Source organism: Homo sapiens, chromosome 19 (genome assembly GCF_000001405.40).
Source record: "Homo sapiens chromosome 19, GRCh38.p14 Primary Assembly".
Classification (NCBI taxonomy): domain Eukaryota; kingdom Metazoa; phylum Chordata; class Mammalia; order Primates; family Hominidae; genus Homo; species Homo sapiens.
In genome coordinates, this window is record NC_000019.10 from 11,790,338 (window position 1) to 11,809,762 (window position 19,425).

The window sequence follows — 19,425 nt, forward strand, 5'->3', positions numbered from 1 at the left end:
TTCTTAAAATAAGACATACAAATGGCAAACAGACATATAAAAAAGTGCTCAACGTCACTGATCATCAGAGAAATGCAAATCAAAACTACAATGAGATATCATCTTACCTCAATTAAAATAGCTTTTACCCAAAAGACAGGCAATAACAAATGCTGTGAGGATGTAGAGAAAAAGGAACCCTTGTACACTGTTAGTGGGAATGTAAATTAGTACAACCACTATGGACAACAGTTTGGAAGATTCTCATAAAACTGAAAATAGAGCTACCATACAATTCAGCAATCCCACAGCTGGGTGGGATTGGAAATCAATATATCAAAGAGAAGGAAAGGAAATCAGTATATCAAAGAGATATTTTCACTCCCATATTTATTTATTACAATAGCAAACATATGGAATCAACCTAAGTGTCCATCGATGATGATTGGATAAAGAAAATGTGTTATATATACACAATAGAATACTATTCAGCTATAAAAATAATGAAATTATGTCATTTGCAACAACATGGATGTAACTGAAGGTCATTATGTTAAGTGAAATAAGCCAAGTGCAGAAAGACAAACTTCACATGTTCTCACTTATTTGTGGGAGCTAAAAATTGCAACAATTGAACTCATAGAGATAGAGAGTAGAAGGATGATTATCAAAGGCTGAGAAGGGTAGAGGGGGTGGGGAATGGGAATGGTTAATGGATATAAAAAAAAGAGAAAGAATGAATAAGACCTAGTATTTGTTAGCACAACAGGCTGACTATAGTAAAAAATAATTTAGTTGTACATTTTAAAATAACTAAAAGAGTATAATTGGATTGTTTGTAACACAAAGGGTAAATACTTGAGGTGATGACCCCATTTACCCTGATGTGATTATTATGCACTGCATGCCTCTTTCAAAATATCTCATGTAACCCATAAATATATACACTTACTATGTACCCACAAAATTAAAAATAAAAAAGGAAGTAAAAAAATGTAAATTTTATTCATATAAGTTTATGTAAGGCCAAGGCACAGTGGCTCACCCCTGTAATCCTAGCAGTTTGGGAGACTGAGGTGGGTGGATTGCCTGAGCTCAGGAGTTCAGCCTGGGCAACACGGTGAAACCCCGTCTCTAGTAAAATAAAAAAAATTAGCCGGGTGTGGCGCCTGTAGTCCCAGCTACTTGGGAGGCTGAGGCAGGAGAATCACTTGAACCCAGGTAGCAGAGATTGCAGTGAGCCGAGATCCCACCATGGCACTCCAGCCTGGGTGACAGAGCGAGACTCCATCTCCAAAAAAAAGAAAAAATTTATGTAGTACTAGTGTAATTTTGTAACATGGATATATTTGCATAGTGGTGAAGACAGGACTTTGAGTGTATCCATCACTGGAAAAAAGTACATTGTATTCATTAAGTAATTTCTCATTGTCTCCTCCCTTCCCACTCCCCACCCTTCTAAGTCTCCACTGTCTATTATTTCACACTCTATGTTTATGTGTGCACATTACTTAGCTCCCACTTATATGTGAGAACACGCGGTGTTTGTCTTTCTATGTCTGAGTTGTTTCACTTAAGATTGGGCCTCCACTTCTATTCATATTGCTGCAAAAGATATAATTTTATTCTTTTTATGGCTGAATAGTATTCTATTGTGTATATATAACACATTTTCTTTATCCAATCATCTATTGATGGACACTTAGGTTGATTCCATCTGTTTGCTATTGTGAATAGTGCTGTGATAAACATACAAGTATAGGTAGCTTTTTGAAATAATGATTTCTTGTTTTTTGGGTAGATACCCAATAGTGGGATTGCTGGATCAAAGGGTAGTTCTATTTTTAGTTCTTTGAGAAATCTCTATACTGTTTTCCATAAAGATTGTACTAATTTACATCCCCATCAACAGCATATAAACATTCCCTTTTCTCTGCATCCTCACCAACATCTGTTATTTTTTCCTCTTTTTAATAATAGCCATTCTGACTGGCGTAAGATGGTATCTCATTTTGGCTTTAATTTGCATTCCTCTGATGTTAGGGATGCTGAACATTTTTTCATATGCTTGTTAACTATTTTGTATGTCTTCTTTTGAAAAATATCAGCTGGGCATGGTGGCTCACGCCTGTAATTCCCACACTTTGGGAGGCCAAGGCAGGAGAATTGCTTGAGGCCAGGAGTTTGAGACTAGCCTGGGCAACATAGTGAGACTCTGTCTCTCTCTCTCTTTTTTTTTTTATTTTTTGAGATACAGTCTCACTCTGTTGCCCAGGCTGGAGTGCAGTGGCACAATCCCAGCTCACTGCAACCTTCGGCGCCTGGGTTCAAGCGATTCTCCTGCCTCAGCCTCCTGAGTAGCTGCGATTACAGGCACGTGCCACCATGCCTGGCTAATTTTTGTATTTTTAGTAGAGATGGGGTTTCACCATATTGGTTAGGCTTGTCTCGAACTCCTGACCTCATGATCTGCTCACCTCAGCCTCCCAAAGTGCTGGGATTACAGGCGTGAGCCACCACACCCGGCCCAACCCTGTCTCTTAAAAAAAAAAATTAACTGGGTGTCATGGCATGTGCCTGTAATCCCAGCTACTCAGAAGACTGAGGCAGGTGGATCTCTTGAGCCCAGGAATTTGAGTGAGCTAATATTGTACCAGTGAATTCTAGCTTGGGTGACAGAGGGAGACACTGTCTCTGAAAAAAGAAAGGAAAGGAAAGAGAAAGAAGAAAGAGAGAAAGAAAGAAAGAAGAGTGAGAGAGAAAGAAAAGAAAGAAAGAAGAGAGAGGAAGGAAGGAAGGAAAAGAAAAAGAAAGAGAGAAAGAAAAGAAAGAAAGGAAGGGAAAGGAAAAGGAAAGGAAAGGAAGGAAGAAGGAAGGAAGAAAGGGGGAGGGAGGGAGAAAAGAAAGGAAGGAAGGAAAAATGTCTATTTATGTCCTTAGACCACTTTTTACTTTTTTTTTTTATTTTTTTTGAGACAGAGTCTCTCACCCAGGCTGGAGTGCAGTGGCATGATCTCAGCTCACTGCAACCTCTACCTCCCAGGTTCAAGTGATTCTCCTGCCTCAGCCTCTTGAGTAGCTGGGATTACAGGCACCTGCCACCACACCCGGCTGATTTTTGTATTTTAGGTAGAGATGGGGTTTCACCATGTTGGCCAGACTGGTCTCAAACTCCTGACCTCAGGTGATCCGCCTACCTCGGCGTCTCAAAGTGCTGGGATTACAGATGTGAGCCACCATGTCCAGCCTTTACCACTTCTTAATGGGGTTGTTTTTGTTGTTGTTGAGTTGTTTGAGTTCCTTGTATATTCTGGATATTAGTGTTTTGTTAATATATAGTTTGCAATTAATTTCTCCCATTCTTCGGGTTATTTGTTCACTTTATTGATTATTTATTTTGCTGTGCAGAAGCTTTTCCATTTACTTAAGTCACATTTGTCTATTTTGTTATTGTTGCCTGTGCTTTTGAGGTCTTAATCCGGCATTTTTTGCCTAGACCAATGTCCAGAAGAGAATTCCTTAGATTTCCTTCTAGTATTTTTATAGTTTTGGGATTTACATTTAAGTACATTTTGAATTGATTTTTGTATATGGAGAGAGATCAGGGTCCAGCTTCATTCTTCTCCGTATGGCAATCCAGTGTTCCCAGCACTGTTTATTGAAAAGGGTGTCCTTACCCCAATGTATGTTCTTGTTGACTTTGTAAAAAACCAGTTGGATGTAAATATGTGGATTTTGTTCTAGGTTCTCTATTCTGTTTCATTTATTTCTGTGTATATTTTTATACCAGTAACATGCTGATTTGATTGCAATAGCCTTGTAGTATAACTTGAAGTTAGGTAATGTGTTGCTGTCAGAGGCATTCGAACCAGAGCGACTCCATTCTGAGGGCTAGGAAAGTGAGGCTGGGAATTGCTGGGCTTCATTCCCAGAAAGTTAGGCATACCTCGCTTCTAGGTGTTTACAGTTAAAGGAACAAATTAATAATGTTTACCAAGACCCAGACTTGGTAGTGTCCAGATATCCCAATATCTGGAGAACAAAGGCATTTCTAATTTTGCTTTAAAGATAATAATATCAATTCTTGCAAAATATAGTAATTAAGAAAATTAATCCTTTATCATGGACCCTTATAGCAGAGCACATCTGCCCATATATACAAGCATCATTGTACCTAGGGTGGATGCGTTCCTCCTCTTACTTACAGAAACATCCAACTCTTTCTGGGGAGTAGCTGTTCTTTCACCACTTTACTTTCTTAATAAACTTGCTTTTACTTTGCACTGCAGACTTGCCTTGAACTCTTTCTTGCAGGAAATTCGAAAACCCTCTCTTGGGGTCTGGATTGGGACCCCTGTCCTGTAACATTGCCTCCAACTTTGTTCTTTTTGTTTAGGATTGCTTTGGTTATTCGGGCACTTTTTTGGTTCTATATGAATTTTAGGATTGTTTTTCCTAATTATGTGAAAACTAACATTGGTATTTTGATAAGAATTGCATTGACTCTGTAGATTGCTTTGGGAAGTATAGTCATTTTAATGATATTAATTCTTTCTGAATAATTAATGAAATTAATTCTTCTGATATTAGTTCTTTCCATAAGCATGAAATGTTTTTTCCATTTGTTTGTGTCATCTGTAATTCTTTAATCAGTGTTTTATAGATTTTTTCTTTTTGTAGAGGCCTTTCACCTCCTTGGTGCAATATATTCCCATGTGGGGTGGGGTGTTATTTGGTAGCTCTCGTAAGTGGTATTGCTTTCTCGATTTGGTTCTCAGCTAGATTGTTGTTGCTGTATAGAAACACTGCTGACTTTTGTACACTGACTTTGTATCCTGAAACTCCTGAATTAATTTAACTAATCTAAGAGATTTTTGGTGGAGTCTTAAGCGTTTCTAGATGTAAGATTATATATCACTGAACAGGAATAATTTGACTTCCTCTTTTCCAATTTGCATGTCTTTTATTTCTTTCTCTTGCCTGATTGCTCTGGCCAAGACTTCCTATACTAGGGTTGAATAAGAGTGGTGAAAGTAGGCATCCTTAATCTTGTTCTAGTTTTTATCATTCAACTATTTCCCCATTCAGTATGATGTTGGCTGTGTGTTTATCATGTGTGGCTTTTATTATTTTGAGATATGTTCATTCTGTACCTAGTTTTTTGAGCTTTTATCATGAAGGATGCTGAATTTTATCAAGTGTGTTTTCTAAATCTATTGAGATGATCATATGGTTTTTATTCTTCATTCTGTTTTTGTGATGTGTTACATATATTAACTTGTGTGTGTTGGACCATTTTTGCATTCCTGGTATAAAACCTACTTTATCATGCTGTATTATCTTTTTAATGTGCGGTTGGATTCAGTTTGCTAGTGTTTTGTTGGGGATTTTCACATCCGTGTTCATCGGGGATATTGGTCTGTAGTTTTGTTGTTGTGTCCTTGTCTGTTTTTGGTATTAGGATGTTACTGGCCTCATAGAATGAGTTAGGGAGATTTCCCTTGTCTGTGATTTTTAGGGACAGTTTCAGGATTATTAGTATAGTTCTTTTTGTATGTTTGGTATAATTTTTTTAATGTTGATTTTTAAATTTTTATTTTTTTACTTAGAGATGGGATCTTGTTATGTTGGCCAGGGTGGTCTCAAACTCCTGGCCTCAAGCAATCCTCCTGTCTCAGGCTCCACAGTGCTATGATTACAGGCATGAGCCACCACATCTGGCCTATTTGGTACAATTTTGGTATAAATCTGTCTGGCCCAGAGCTTTCATTTTTGGGAATTTTTTTATTGCTGATTCAATATTGCTACTTATTATTGGTCTATTCAGGATATCTGTTTCTTCTTGGTTCAATCCTGGGAGGTTATACGTTTCAAAAAAACCTATAGGTTTTCTAGGTTGTGAGCATATAGTTGTTCATAGTAGTCTCTGATGGTATTTCTGTGGTATTGGTGTAATGTCTTCTTTTTCAATTCTGGTTTTGTTCATTTGAATCTTCTTTTTTTTCTTGGTTAGTCTAGCCAGCAGTTTATTACTTTTGTTGATATTTTCAAAGAACCAACTTTTTGTTTCGTTTATCATTTGTGTTGTTTTTTAGTCTTGATTTTGTTTAATTCTGCTCTGATCTTTGTTATTTCTTTTCTGCCAACTTTGGATTTGTTTTGTTCTTGTTTTCCTAGTTCCATGGGGTACCATGTTAGGTTGTTAATTTGTTACTTTTTTGACAGAGGCATATAATTCTATAAACTTCCCTCTTAGCATGACTTTTCCTATATCCCAGAGGTTTTGATATGTTGTGTTGCCATTTTTGTTCATTTCAAACAAAATTTTTATTTTCTGTTTTTATTTCTTCTTTGACTCAGAGATCATTCAGGAGCACATTGTTTAATTTCCATGTATTTATACAGTTTTCAAAGTTCCTCTTGGTATTGATTTTTAGTTTTATTCAGCAGTCTGAGAAGATGCTTGAAATGATTTTGACTTTAAAATTTGTCGAGACTAGTTTTGTGGCCTAACATATGGTCTACCTTGGAGAATGTTTCACGTACTGATGAGAAGAATGTATATTCTGCAGTTGTTGGGTTCTGTAAACGTCTGTTAGCTCCATTTGGTCCAAAGTCCAACTTAAGTCCAATTTTTTTGTTGATTGTCTGTCTTGATGATATATCTACTACTGTGTGTGAGGTGCTGAAGTCCCATACTATTATTGTATTGCTATCTATATCTTTCTTTAGGTCTAGAAATATTTGCTTTATTAATTTGGCCTCTCCAATGTTGGATGCATATATATTTAGTATTACTATATTATCTTGCTGAATTGATTCTGTTATCAGTATCTCATGATCTTCTTTGTCTTTTTGTACTGTTTTTTATTTAAAGTCTATTTTATCTGATACAACTATCACAACTCTTGCTGAAGCACAGTGGCGAGATCATAGGTCACTGAAGCTTCAAACTCCTGGGCTCAAGATCTTCCCACCTCAGCCTCCCGAGTAGCTGGGACTACAGGTTCAGGACACCACGCACTGCTAATTTTTAAATTTTTAGTACAGACGAGGTGTGGCTCCGTTTTCCAGGATGATGAACTCCTGGGTTCAAGCAGTCCTCCCGCTTCAGCCTCCAAAAGGGTTGGGATTATAGGCGTGAGCCCCCGCACCCTGCCTGCAAGTCTTTTAATTCACTTCAATTATCTTAGAATTTTCCTTCCCCACTTTATACATACGTACAGTGGAACTGAGGGTGTTTGTCTCAGGTAACCGATCAATGAAGTGAATAACCTGTAGGGGGCAGCAGAGCCTAAGGCCAGTGACACCCTGCTGAGGCCAGTCTGGAGCCGGCAAAGGGAGGGAAAGGGAGCTCCCCTGGGTGTTTCCCGGGCAGCCTGCCCTCTACTGCAGGTGGCCTCCAGCTGCTCAGAACAGCTGCGGAAGGAATGTGGATCCTGAGAAGCTACAGAGCCCTGGAAAGCAGGAGACTCACGTGCAGGTGCACTTTGTGTAGGGGGGTTGGGGGGAGGTTCTGTCCTTACTGGGGCTGTACCTAGAGCCTAGGGACGTTTTGCGGGGGCAGTGTTTGGTTTTTACGTGCAAAGGGTCCCGGCGACAGACTGTAATTTGTACATACAAAGATAATCTGTGAAGATCAGGCTCAGTAAGATTTGTCTGACATGTCACCTGGAGAAAGGGTTTGTGAAGGTAATAGTTTACTTAGGTTAGAAGCTTAAACTGACCCCAGGTGAGAACTTCTGCTGGTGAAAATGAAGTCTAGGGGGAGGAAGCGGTTCCATATTCAGGGGTGGGACGGGGGGAGTGTGAGGAAGTCTCATCCCCAATTCCCGCCCTGTAGAGGACACCTGCCTCTCCCTCCTGGTGCAGTCTTGCCTGGCCTGGCCTGGCCTGGATTTCCTTCCTGCTATGAGGCAAAGGAATGACTCCATTGAACACCGAGTCTGGAATTCCCAGCACACATTTCTGAAAGATCGAGGAAGCTAACAGTGCCCCTTCTAACAATAAGTAGCAAGTTTGGCTGAAATGCAGATAGCCAACGACCAGGGCGCAGGGAGTGAGCTTAGCCTTAGAAAGGCTGTAGCTAGGATTAATCAGCCGGGCTCTGCAGGGCTCCGTTACCCAGGGCTTACCCTGTCACTCAGGGCTGAGGGGCGGAGCCTGGAACCCCATCCAATCAGGGGCCCTGGGACGGGGCCCTGCCAACTGTCAATCCGGGGAAGCAGAAGGCCGCACTCAGAGTCTCTGCACTCCTTTGTTGCTGGGGTCCGTTGCGTTCTGCATCCAGTCCTTGCTGCTCCGAGAGGCCCCAGGTGCCTCCGCCACGGCTCCTGTGACGCTGTCACCTGCGCTGTGACCTGCTCCGGAGTCATAAAGAGGACGCCGGGACACCAAGAAGCAGGGAAATGGTAAAGTGCCCGGCCTAGCGTCCAGATACGTGGAAGAGGGGCTGGGTGGAACCAACAGGATCCTGCTGTGGCGGGACCCAGGCCTCCGCTCGGGCGACCCCGGCGATTGGGACCCGCGTCCCCCATGGCGTGGCTTGGCCCTCGGTCCGCTCGGCCGCCAGGTGGGGCTGGGCCCGCAGCTGGGACCCCGGGCGTCCTGTCCCGTCCCTACGCGGCGACTGCGGCCCCGGCCCCGGAGTCCTCTCTGGGCAGCTCCGCGCCCGCAGCCCGGCGTCTTCCCAGATTGTGCGGGGGCCACGGGAGGGTCATGGGGGGTCGGATGTGTCCCGCCTTTCTTCTGCTAAAAATTAAACTGAGGCTCTGTTAACAGTTAAAGAGTTTGTTGGAGCAACAGCGATTCCGAGTGAGAAACACCCGGTCATGGCTTGTGATTGAAGAAAAGGCTTTTATAAGTTGCATGAGGAGGCAAACAGGATTAAATACTTGATTAGTTACAGTGATGCTGTCGCCGTATGTGGACTTGTCAACCTGAAATAAAAGAATCAGATTCCAGTTTTTTAAAGTTTACTCAAGCAAGAAGCTGGGAATGGCCCATTTGGGAAAACACAGGATCCACGGAAATGGGCTCAGTGTTTCAAATTTAAAAGTTTAAGTTCTTGCTTATATAGGCAAGAAATTTAACAGGATTACAACGTTTTTTATACAAGGCTAGTTTGTGAGGCACAACAATTTAATCAGAGTTTGGCCCGCCCCCCTCCCCCCGCCCCCATAGAGCTTTTTTTTTTTTTTCTTTACATTTGGGTTTCATTTCCTTTCCAATTTAAAAGAGTATATTTAACATTCCAGCGTAAGGCAAGGTGATGCCAGCGTGGACAACATGGCGAGACCCCGTCTGTACAAAATATTTTAAAAAATTAGTCGGGTATGGCCGGGCGCGGTGGCTCACGTCTACAATCCCAGCACTTTGGGAGGCCGAGGCGGGCGGATGACGAGGTCAGGAATTCGAGACCATCCTGGCCAACATGGTGAAACCCCGACTCTACCAAAAATACAAAAATTAGCTGGGCGTGGTGGCACGTGCCTGTAATCCGGCTACTCGGGAGGCTGAGGCAAGACAATCGCTTGAACGCAGGAGGCGGAGGTTGCGTGAGCCGAGATGGTGCCACTGCACTCCAGCCTGGCGACAGAGCGAGACTCTGTTAAAAAAAAAAAAAATTAGTCAGGTATGATGGCCGCTTCTGTAGTTAGTCTGGAGGCTGAGGCAGGAGAATTGCTTGAGCCCAGGAGGTGAAGGCTGCATCAACGACAGTATTGAATTTACAGCTAATAGGCAAGGTGAGGGAGAGGATGGAAGTTGGTTTAGTGTCAAGAATTAGGGAAGAGATTGTCAAACGTAGGGAAAAGGGACTTGATTGGATATCAGGTTTGGGGGAATTTTCTCTAAACTCCCTTAGAAGGGTTTTTGCTACCACAGGGCTCTGCAGGAAAAGGCCAAAGTCTACTCAAGAAGAGGGGGGCTCTGAGGAGCCTGACTAGTTTGATCAAAGAGGGAGTTTTTGGGACCCCTCTCCCAGCCTAGTTCTTCCCAGGTATGACAGTAAATCCCTAAATTTCTGGTTTTCTCCTCACATTCAAAAACACCAACTTCCCCTCGCCAATTGACATCCTTATCAATTATGTGTTTCCCATGCTACATTTGAAACAGCTGCCATATTTTATCATTTTTCCACAGACAAATGAATAGCACTATTTAAAAATGTTATCAACACCTCTGAAAATAAGGAAAACTTTTTTTTTTTTTTTTTTTTTGAGACAGTCTCACTGTGTCTGTTGCCCAGGCTGGAGTGCAATGGTGCTATCTTGGCTCACTGCAACCTCGGCCTCCTGGGTTCAAGCGATTCCCCTGCCTCAGCCTCCCAAGTAGCTGGGATTACAGGCATGTGCCGACATGCCCGGCAGATTTTTGTATTTTTAGTAGAGACACGGGAAAGAAAACATTTTTTAAAAATTTTAGTCCAGGCACAGTGACTCACTCCTGTAATCCCAGCACTTTCAGAGGCCCAGGTGGGAGGATTGCTTGAGCCTAGGAGTTCAAGACCAGAGTGGGCAGGGCAACATAGCAAGATCTCATCTCTACTGAAAACAACCAAACAAAATAGCTGGGCATGGTGTCATATTCCTGTAGTCTCAGCTACTATACTCGGGAGACTAAGGCGGGAGGATCGCTTGAGCCCCGAAGATCCAAGGCTGCAGTGAGCCTTGAGGGCACCACTGCACTCCAGCCTGGGAGACAGGGTGAAAATTTTCCTCAAAAAAACAAAAACTTTAGGGCTTGGCATGCTGGCTTACACCTGTAATCCCAGCACTTTGGCAGGCCGAGGTGGGAGGATCACTTGAGTCCAGAAGTTTAAGACCAGCTCAGCAACATAGAGAGACCCCGTCTCTATTAAATAAATAAATAAAATTTTAAAAAGAAAAAAATTATATTTTGTTTATGAATATTTTTTATGAGAGGAAACTATTCAGTAACTACCCAAAATGACATTGGGTAAAACTCCATGGCTGATTCTTGACATTGATCATCTTTTCATGTGTTTGTTGGCCATTTGTGTATGTCTGGGAGAAATGTCATTAAAATCCATTGCTTGGCTGGATGTGGTGGCTCATGCCTATAATCTCAGCACTTTGGGAGGCTGAGGCGGGTGGATCATGAGGTCAGGAGTTCAAGACCAGCCTGGCCAACATAGTGAAACCCTGTCTTTACTAAAAATACAAAAATTAGCTGGGCATGGTGGTGCATGCCTATAGTCCCAGCTACTCAGGAGGCTGAGGCAGGAGAATTGCTTGAACCTGGGAGGCGGAGGTTGCAGTGAACCAAGATCGCGCCATTGCCCATATTTTAGTCAATTAGTTTTCCTTTTTGGTACAATAATTTTTCTAGTTAATTACAATAAGAAAAACCTTAAAAATTTTACTAGCTCAAGCATTTTAAGTGTACCATTGAGTTAGTTTGACAATTTTATATAACTTCTCTAAGATGAGTCATACTGCATTTTTCTTTTTCTGACTGGTCTTTTGCAGTTAGCTTAGTATCATGAAGTTTCATGCCTGTTGTAGTATGGGACAGGATGTCATTTTATAAGAATAAATAATATCCTGTTGTATATATATATACATTTTCATTATCCATTCATCCATTGATTGGCATTTAGGTTGATCTACCTGTTGGGTGTTGTGAACAATGGATTTCAATTCATTTTATTTTATTTTTTATAGAGATTGGATCTCACTCTGTTGCCTAGGCTGGTCTCAAATTCCTGGGCTCAATTGATCTTCCTGCCTCAGCCTCCTGAAAGTGTTGGGGTTACAGGCATCAGCCACTGTACCCAGCCATCGATGGTTTTCAAATATTTCTTTGAGATCCTACTTTTAATTCTTTTGAATTGAATATAATTCGACCTAAAAGTGGGTTGCTGGAACATTTGGTAATTTTGTTTTTAATTTTTGAGGCACTGCCATACTGTTTTTCATAGCTAAGCCATTTTACAATCCCTTGGACAGTGTACATAGGTTCCAGTTTGTCAGCATGCTCATCAAAGCTTTCCATTTGGCATGTTTGATGTGTTTTTTATAGTTGAATTATGGAAATTCTTTATATTTGCTGAAAATTAAGACCATACCAGATATATGACTTACCAACATTTTCTCCAAATTGATGAGTTTTCTTTTCCCTTGTTGATAGTGTGTTCCCTTGCACAAAAGTTCTTAATTTTCATAAATCACATTACCTTTTTGTTAAGACTGCCCCCTCACAGAGTTTTTACCTCTAAACCTTGTCCCCATTCAGCCTTCAGCACTTCATCAATTACAATTTATGTTGTCTTACCCCAGTATTATTTCCCATAATGGTTTTGGTCATGGGTTTCTGTTTCAGTTAGTTATGACTCTCTTAATCAGTTGGGTTGGTGAGATCCCATGCAAAATTCGGTTTTTGTTTGTTTTTGGATTTGCCTGTGCTGTTTGAATGAGAATCAAATCCACTTTCCAGATACCATCAAAGGTTAAACTTTGTGAACACACATTTTCAAGTATATGTAGTCTCAGGACTGCTGTTGTGAGCTTTTTCTCTGCACATGAATTAGTAGGACTCTGTTACAAAAGATGCTACACACCCAATGTACAGAGAGACATTGGGGTACCTAGGAAACACATCTTTCTCTCCGGATTCACCAAAAAGAGACATTTTCCTATTCTTTTTTTTTTTTTTTTTCCAAGATGGACTCTCACTCTGTTGTCCAGGCTGGAGTGCAGTGGCTCTCTCTTGGCTCACTGCAACCTCTGCCTCCTGGGTTCAAGTGATTCTCATGCCTCAGCCTCCCTGAGTAGCTGGGATTACAGGCGCCTGCCACCACACCCGGCTAATTTTTGTATTTTTAGTAGAGATGGGGTTTTGCCACATTGGCCAGCCTGGTTTTGAACTCCTAATCTCAGGTGATCTGCCTGTCTTGGCCTCCCAAAGTGCTGGGATTACAGGCGTGAGCTACCATACCTGGCCATAAATTTGTTATTTTGGAATAATTTTAGATTTATAGAAAACTTGCAAAGATAATCTACAAAGTTCCCATATACCCGTCACCCATTTTCTTCTAATGTGAGCATCTTACATAACCATGGTCCAACAAAACTAAGAAGTTATCATTTGTATATTACTATTAATGAAATTCCAGATTTTCAACAGTTTTTCCACTAATATCCTTTTTCTATTCCAGGACCCAATCCAGTATACCCCACTGTATTTAGTTCTCATGTCTCCTTGATCTGCTTTGTGACAATTTCTCAGTCTTCCCTTGTTTTTTAAAATCACTTTGACAGTTTTAAGAGTGCTGGTCAGGTATTCCATAGAATGTTCCTCAATTTGGAATTTTTCTCATGATTAGACTGGAGTTAGGTGTTTTGCAGGAGAATGCCACAAAGGTGAAGTGTCCAGGCTCATCACTTGATACACCTGGTGACAGTAACCTTGATCACTTGATTGAAGCAGTGTTTGTCAGGTTTCTCCACTTTAAAGTTACTATTTTTACCCCTTTCCATACTCTGTTCTTTGGAAGTGAGTCACTAAGTCCAGCACAGGTCCAAGGGAGGAGGGCCAATTCAGCTCCATAGTTCTGGAGGCTGGGAAGTCTAAGATCAAGGCACGCCAGGCACGGTGGCTTACGCCTGTAATCCCAACACTTTGGGAGGCCAAGGTGGGCAGATGACGAGATCAGGAGTTTGAGACCAGCCTGACCAACATGGTGAAACCCCGTCTCTACTAAAAATACAAAAATTAGCTGGGCATGGTGGTGCGTGCCTGTAATCCCAGCTACTCAGGAGGCTGAGGCAGGAGAACTGCTTGAACCCGGGAGGCAGAGGTTGCAGTGAGCCAAGATCGCGCCACTGCACTCCAGCCTGGGTGACAGAGTGAGGCCCCATCTCAGACAAAAAAAAAAAAAAAAAAAAAAAAGATCAAGGCACTGGCAGGTACCATGTCCAGAGGGTCCATTCCTCATGAACTCCATCCTCTTGCTGTGTCCTCACGTGGCAGAAGGCTACATTTTCCTATTCTGCTGTTGCTTTACCCATAGTTACACTCTGGCATCAAAGTTGCTGTTTGAGAGGAAGTGAGTGTAGACAGGGGAGTAAGAGGTCTGATGACAGAGGCAGGGAATAAATGTTTGGAGTCCACAGCATCATGAGAACTTCTTGGGAATAGAGTCTAGGCCCCCAGTGCTGTCACTCTCACCCATCCTCCTCTACACATGTGAGATGTTTCAGGACCCAGTGGCCTTTGAGGATGTGGCTGTGAACTTCACCCAGGAGGAGTGGGCCTTGTTGAATCCTTTCCAGAAGATCTCTACAGAGATGTGATGCAGGAAACCTTCACGAACCTCATCTGTATAGGTAGGGGTGACAATATTACCTCCCTCAGTGAATTGTAGAACATATGTTTCTAGTTCATCAGTGCTATTCAGGGATTTGGAATATGGATAGGCAATCCTTCGATGAACAAATCAGGCATGGCTGCAGTGTCCCATAAACATGGAATCTAATGATTTTTAAATAATCTTATACTAATTCAGGACTATTTTTTAGGGAAAAAATGGAAAGACCAGAACATTGAAGATCAATACAAACATCCCAGGAGAAATCTAAGATAATTTACACTCACAAGACAAAGAAATGTCTCTAAAGAAAATCTCAGATTGTCAGAAATTGTTAAAAAGAAGCCAACAAAAGAAATAAGCTCAGCATAAAATGTATTTATTCTTAGAAAGTTTTCTCGAAAAACATATATTTCAATGTGATATAGAGGTTTAATGTTCATAAAATAGCTTACTTGGAAATAGTATTAAGAAACCTCAGCTGGCCGTGGTGGCTCACGCCTGTAATCCCAGGACTTTGGGAGGCCAAGGTGGGCGGATCACCTGAGGTCGGGAGTTCAAGACCAGTCTGACCAACATGGACAAACCCTGTCGCTAGTAAAAGTATAAAATTATCCAGGCGTGGTGGCACATGCCTGTAATCCCAGCTACTCGGGAGGTTGAGGCAGAAGAGTCGCTTGAATCCGGGAGGTGGAGGTTGCAGTGAGCTGAGATCACGCCATGGCACTCCAGCCTGGGCAACAAGAGCAAAACTCCGTCTCAAAAAAAAAAAAAAAAAAAAAAGAAACCTCATGTAAATATTCTTTTTTTGATGATAGATATAGACAGGCCATCTTGTAGAATGTGTGATCCATTCATGTTTAAACAATTCAGACAGGGCAGAAAGTCTACACTTCATGGGATAATGTTAAAAATGCAGCTGGACATGGTGGCTCATGCCTGTAATCCCAGCACTTTGGGAGACCAAGGCAAGAGGACCACTTGAGGTCAAGAGCCCAAGATCAGCCTGGGAGACACAGCAAGACTCTATCTCTACCAAAAATAAAAAATTAGCTGGGTATGGTGGCACACACCTGTAGTCCAACTTTCTGGGGAGTCTGAGGTGGGAGGATCACTTGAGCCCAGGCGGTGAAGGCTGCAGTGTGTTATGATCACACCACTGCACTCCAGCCTGGGTAACAGAGTGAGACTTTGTACCAAAAAAACAAAAACATTAAAAATGCAAGTGTAATACTTATTAACAAATATTAAATCGCTTATAAACAGACCCTTAATTATGTGCTTGGCATTTTTCACAGAAATTTTATGGGAGAGAGACTCTTTGAGAGTGCAGAAGGTAGTCAGTGTGGAGAAACTTTCACCCAGGTTCCGGAAGACATGCTGAACAAGAAAACTCTTCCTGGAGTAAAATCATGTGAAAGTGGTACATGTGGAGAAATCTTCATGGGATATTCATCCTTTAATAGGAACATCAGAACTGACACTGGACACCAACCACATAAGTGTCAGAAATTTTTAGAGAAGCCATATAAACATAAACAACGTAGGAAAGCCTTGAGCCATAGCCACTGCTTTCGAACACATGAAAGGCCTCACACTAGAGAGAAACCTTTTGATTGTAAGGAATGTGAAAAATCTTTCATTTCTCCTGCAAGCATTCGAAGATATATGGTAACGCACAGTGGAGATGGACCTTATAAATGTAAGTTTTGTGGGAAAGCCTTGGATTGTCTCAGTTTATACCTTACCCATGAACGAACTCACACTGGAGAGAAACGATATGAATGTAAACAATGTGGTAAAGCCTTCAGTTGGCACAGTTCTGTTCGAATCCATGAAAGAACTCACACTGGGGAGAAGCCATATGAATGTAAGGAGTGTGGGAAATCATTCAATTTTTCCAGTTCCTTTCGCAGACATGAAAGGACACACACAGGAGAGAAGCCGTACAAATGTAAGGAATGTGGGAAAGCCTTCAATTGTCCCAGTTCTTTTCACAGGCATGAAAGGACTCACACAGGAGAAAAACCCTATGAATGTAAACTATATGGGAAAGCATTATCTCGCCTTATAAGCTTTCGAAGACACATGAGAATGCACACTGGAGAGAGGCCTCATAAATGTAAGATATGTGGGAAAGCCTTTTACTCTCCCAGTTCATTTCAAAGGCATGAAAGAAGTCACACTGGAGAGAAACCCTACAAATGCAAGCAATGTGGGAAAGCCTTCACTTGTTCCACTTCGTTTCAATATCATGAAAGGACTCACACTGGAGAGAAACCCGATGGGTGTAAGCAATGTGGGAAAGCCTTCAGATCTGCCAAGTACATTCGAATACATGGAAGGACTCACACTGGTGAGAAACCCTATGAATGTAAGCAATGTGGGAAAGCATTTCATTGTGTCAGCTCCTTTCATAGACATGAAAGGACTCACGCTGGAGAAAAACCTTATGAATGTAAGCATTGTGGGAAAGCCTTCACTTGTTCCATATATATTAGAATACATGAAAGAATTCACACTGGAGAGAAACCTTACCAATGTAAGGAATGTGGGAAAGCCTTCATTCGTTCCAGTTACTGTCGAAAACATGAAAGAACTCACACTATTAATATATGAGAGAAATGCTATTTTTTAATTTTTATTTTAATAGAGACAGGGTCTCACTATCTTGTCCAGGTTGGTCTTGAACTCCTGGCCTCAAGCATCCCTCCCAGCTTGAAGTGTCAATAAAGGAAGGCAATAAAATGTAGAGATGGAGTTAGGTGATGCCACGCTGGGATTCACTGGTGGCCTATCTTACATATGATTTCGAAGGCAGACATGAGGAAGGCCTTAGTCACATTTTAGAGCCAGCCAAATTCACATGGGCTGTGTGGCCCCCTGATTCTAGCCCATTTTCCTGATTCTCTGGCTTGTCAATCAAGAGTATCCTCCAAATCTCTTGACTTTCCTTTTTTCAGAGGTGTAGGTTTCCAAAGATGTCCCCAGAAGCTCCACATTCAAGTTCTATCTACAGTTTGGTTTTTCTTTAAGTATTGTAATGTACATACCAGAGAGATAATGCAGACTGTCATGGGTGGGGAATGTTCTCTGATGCTCAACTCCCCTAGTCTGCAGATTGAGTTGGTAGGAGGTGTGATTTGTTTACATGCACCTTTGTTCCTGCTGGTAGTGACCTTGTTCTTGATTCAGCCTGACAGCTACTATGCTGCCATCAGAACCAACTTGATGAGAGCTCTGCTGCCCTGTGCAGTGACTGGTCTCATCCAGGACTCTCATGTGAGAAGGAACACCTTGCTCTGGTCAGGAAATGTCCAGTGTTTCCTGTTATCCACAGGAGAATGTAATGCCTCAGTTCATTTTCAGTTATCTTTGATTATATGTGATTGACAATGTGTATTTTTGAGGGAGCAAAGATTTCTGTACATATTTCTTAAAAATAGTTTATTCAGCTGGGTGCAGTGGCTCATGCCTGTAACCCCAGCACTTTGGGAGGCCGAGGTGGGCGGATCACGAGGTCAGGAGTTTGAGACTAGCCTGGCCAACACAGTGAAACCCCATCTCTACTAAAAGTACCAAAGTTAGCCGGGTGTGGTGGTGGATACCTGTAATCCCAGCTACTCGGGAGGCTGAGGCAGGAGAATCTCCTGAACCTGGGAGGTGGAGGTTGCAGTGAGCCAAGATCACGCCACTGTACTCCAGCCTGGACAAGAGAGCAATACTCTGTCTCAAAAAAAAAAAAAAAGGTTTATTCACTGTTTTTCAGTTGTGTACTTGCAAATGTTTTTCTCTTTTTTTTGTATACTGAGAAGCTCTATTAAAATATCCCTTGTCAACATGGATCAGATCAAATGTATACTGTTACCAAATTATTTGTTTGATATTGTGAATCAATATCACCATGTGTATAAACCTCATTTATTTCCTGATGTAAATTATACATTTCATGCATATCTACTTATAATTTTTACCTTTTTTTTTTTGAGACAGGGTCTTGCCTTTTAACCCAGGCTGGAGTGCAGTGGTGCAATCATAGCTCATTGCAGCTCTGAGCTCCTGGGCTTAAGTAATCCTCCTGCCTCAGCCTCCTGAGTCGCTGGGACTACAGGTGTGCACCATCATGCCTGGCTAATTTTTTTTTAATTTTTAGTACTGAGGAGGTCTTGTTATGCTCCCCAGGCTAGTCTCCAACTCCTGGGCCAAAGCAATCCTCCTGTCTCAGTCTTCCAAAGTGCTGAGATTATAGGCGTGAGCCACTGTTCCCAGCCACAATTTTTATCTTGACCATAATTTGTCATTCTTTTATAATCCCCGAAGTTAAATCTTGCTGTTATGGTGCTGTGTTGCCCAAAACCACCAGTACTAAAAAAACTGTTGTCAAAGAGGATGTAATAAATTGTAGTAATAAATATGACCACAAGCCATAAATGACTGCAGGACATACCAATAAGAGGGTTCTCTGTAGAATTTCTTACAGGATTTCTGTTTTAGGTGCATTGTTCTCTATTCAAGGAGGTGAGTCATTTTTGTATATTGGATGCTGTCAGGATGTGAACTTAATTGTACCACTGCTAATCATAGTAGTTCTCACCTAGAAGGAGAAAGAATGGATTGGAGGTAAACCTAATTGAAGACAATTGCTGGTCAGTCCATTATGAGAAGAGGGGAACTGGAATTTTTGGTTATTTTTATGATTTGAAATATGTTTTCTTCTATCCCATCTAGGGACGTGGTTACAGAATGCCCTCGTTTTTGTCCTGCTCCATCATGGTCACTGAGGAGCACTGCTTCACACTGCAGGTGTCTGACATGGCTTAAGATTTGGCCTTGTGGTGAGGGGAGGCAGCTCCCAGACTTGTGGACCTGTTTTTGCTTTACTTATTCTCCAAAACCTAAGATATTTCTTAGAGTGTATGAACACTGTTCCACAAAATGCTCCAGTTAAAAATATATAAAATCACTTACTCCTTAGGAAGCTGTATAATACTTTTAAAGAAATTCCTTACTGAGTCAAGTGTGGTCAATATATTTATGTAACTGTCTGAATGCACGCCTAGGAAGGATGAAAGTCAGTATCACTATTCCAACCAAGCCTTTCTTGCTCAGATAAT

At 41.6% G+C, this 19,425-nt stretch overlaps 1 protein-coding gene across 3 annotated transcripts, besides 4 other annotated features; it reads left to right on the top strand.

Moving 5' to 3' along the window:
- Positions 7,178-7,347: a silencer, noted in NCBI's record as "silent region_10131". NCBI's record gives its function as "represses an Ori minimal core promoter by ATAC-STARR-seq in GM12878 lymphoblastoid cells {active_cell/tissue: GM12878}" and the evidence as "EXISTENCE:reporter gene assay evidence [ECO:0000049][PMID:35858748]".
- Positions 7,441-7,952: an enhancer, noted in NCBI's record as "H3K4me1 hESC enhancer chr19:11908593-11909104 (GRCh37/hg19 assembly coordinates)". NCBI's record gives its function as "activates a minimal SCP1, AML or CMV promoter by ChIP-STARR-seq in naive H9 embryonic stem cells {active_cell/tissue: H9 hESC(naive)}" and the evidence as "EXISTENCE:reporter gene assay evidence [ECO:0000049][PMID:30033119]".
- Positions 8,178-8,277: an enhancer, noted in NCBI's record as "active region_14034". NCBI's record gives its function as "activates an Ori minimal core promoter by ATAC-STARR-seq in GM12878 lymphoblastoid cells {active_cell/tissue: GM12878}" and the evidence as "EXISTENCE:reporter gene assay evidence [ECO:0000049][PMID:35858748]".
- On the top strand, positions 8,186-18,166 carry ZNF491 (zinc finger protein 491). 3 transcript variants are annotated; one of them, XM_047438144.1, is made up of 3 exons: positions 8,186-8,390; positions 13,160-14,330; positions 15,610-18,166. In XM_047438144.1, the coding sequence occupies exon 3, from the start codon at positions 15,617-15,619 to the stop codon at positions 16,928-16,930; it is 1,314 nt and encodes a 437-aa protein (XP_047294100.1). In that variant the 5' UTR covers positions 8,186-8,390; positions 13,160-14,330; positions 15,610-15,616; the 3' UTR covers positions 16,931-18,166. The 3 variants fall into 3 exon arrangements, with proteins under 3 accessions (XP_047294100.1, NP_689569.2, XP_005259787.1); NM_152356.4 differs by having other exon boundaries at positions 14,205-14,330; XM_005259730.5 differs by lacking the exon at positions 13,160-14,330.
- Positions 8,288-8,447: an enhancer, noted in NCBI's record as "active region_14035". NCBI's record gives its function as "activates an Ori minimal core promoter by ATAC-STARR-seq in GM12878 lymphoblastoid cells {active_cell/tissue: GM12878}" and the evidence as "EXISTENCE:reporter gene assay evidence [ECO:0000049][PMID:35858748]".
- Positions 18,167-19,425: the final 1,259 nt, after the last annotated feature.

Bases quoted from the DNA above. Each gene is read 5' to 3' on its own strand.
- ZNF491 (XM_047438144.1), top strand. From the start codon at position 15,617: ATGGGAGAGAGACTCTTTGAGAGTGCAGAAGGTAGTCAGTGTGGAGAA.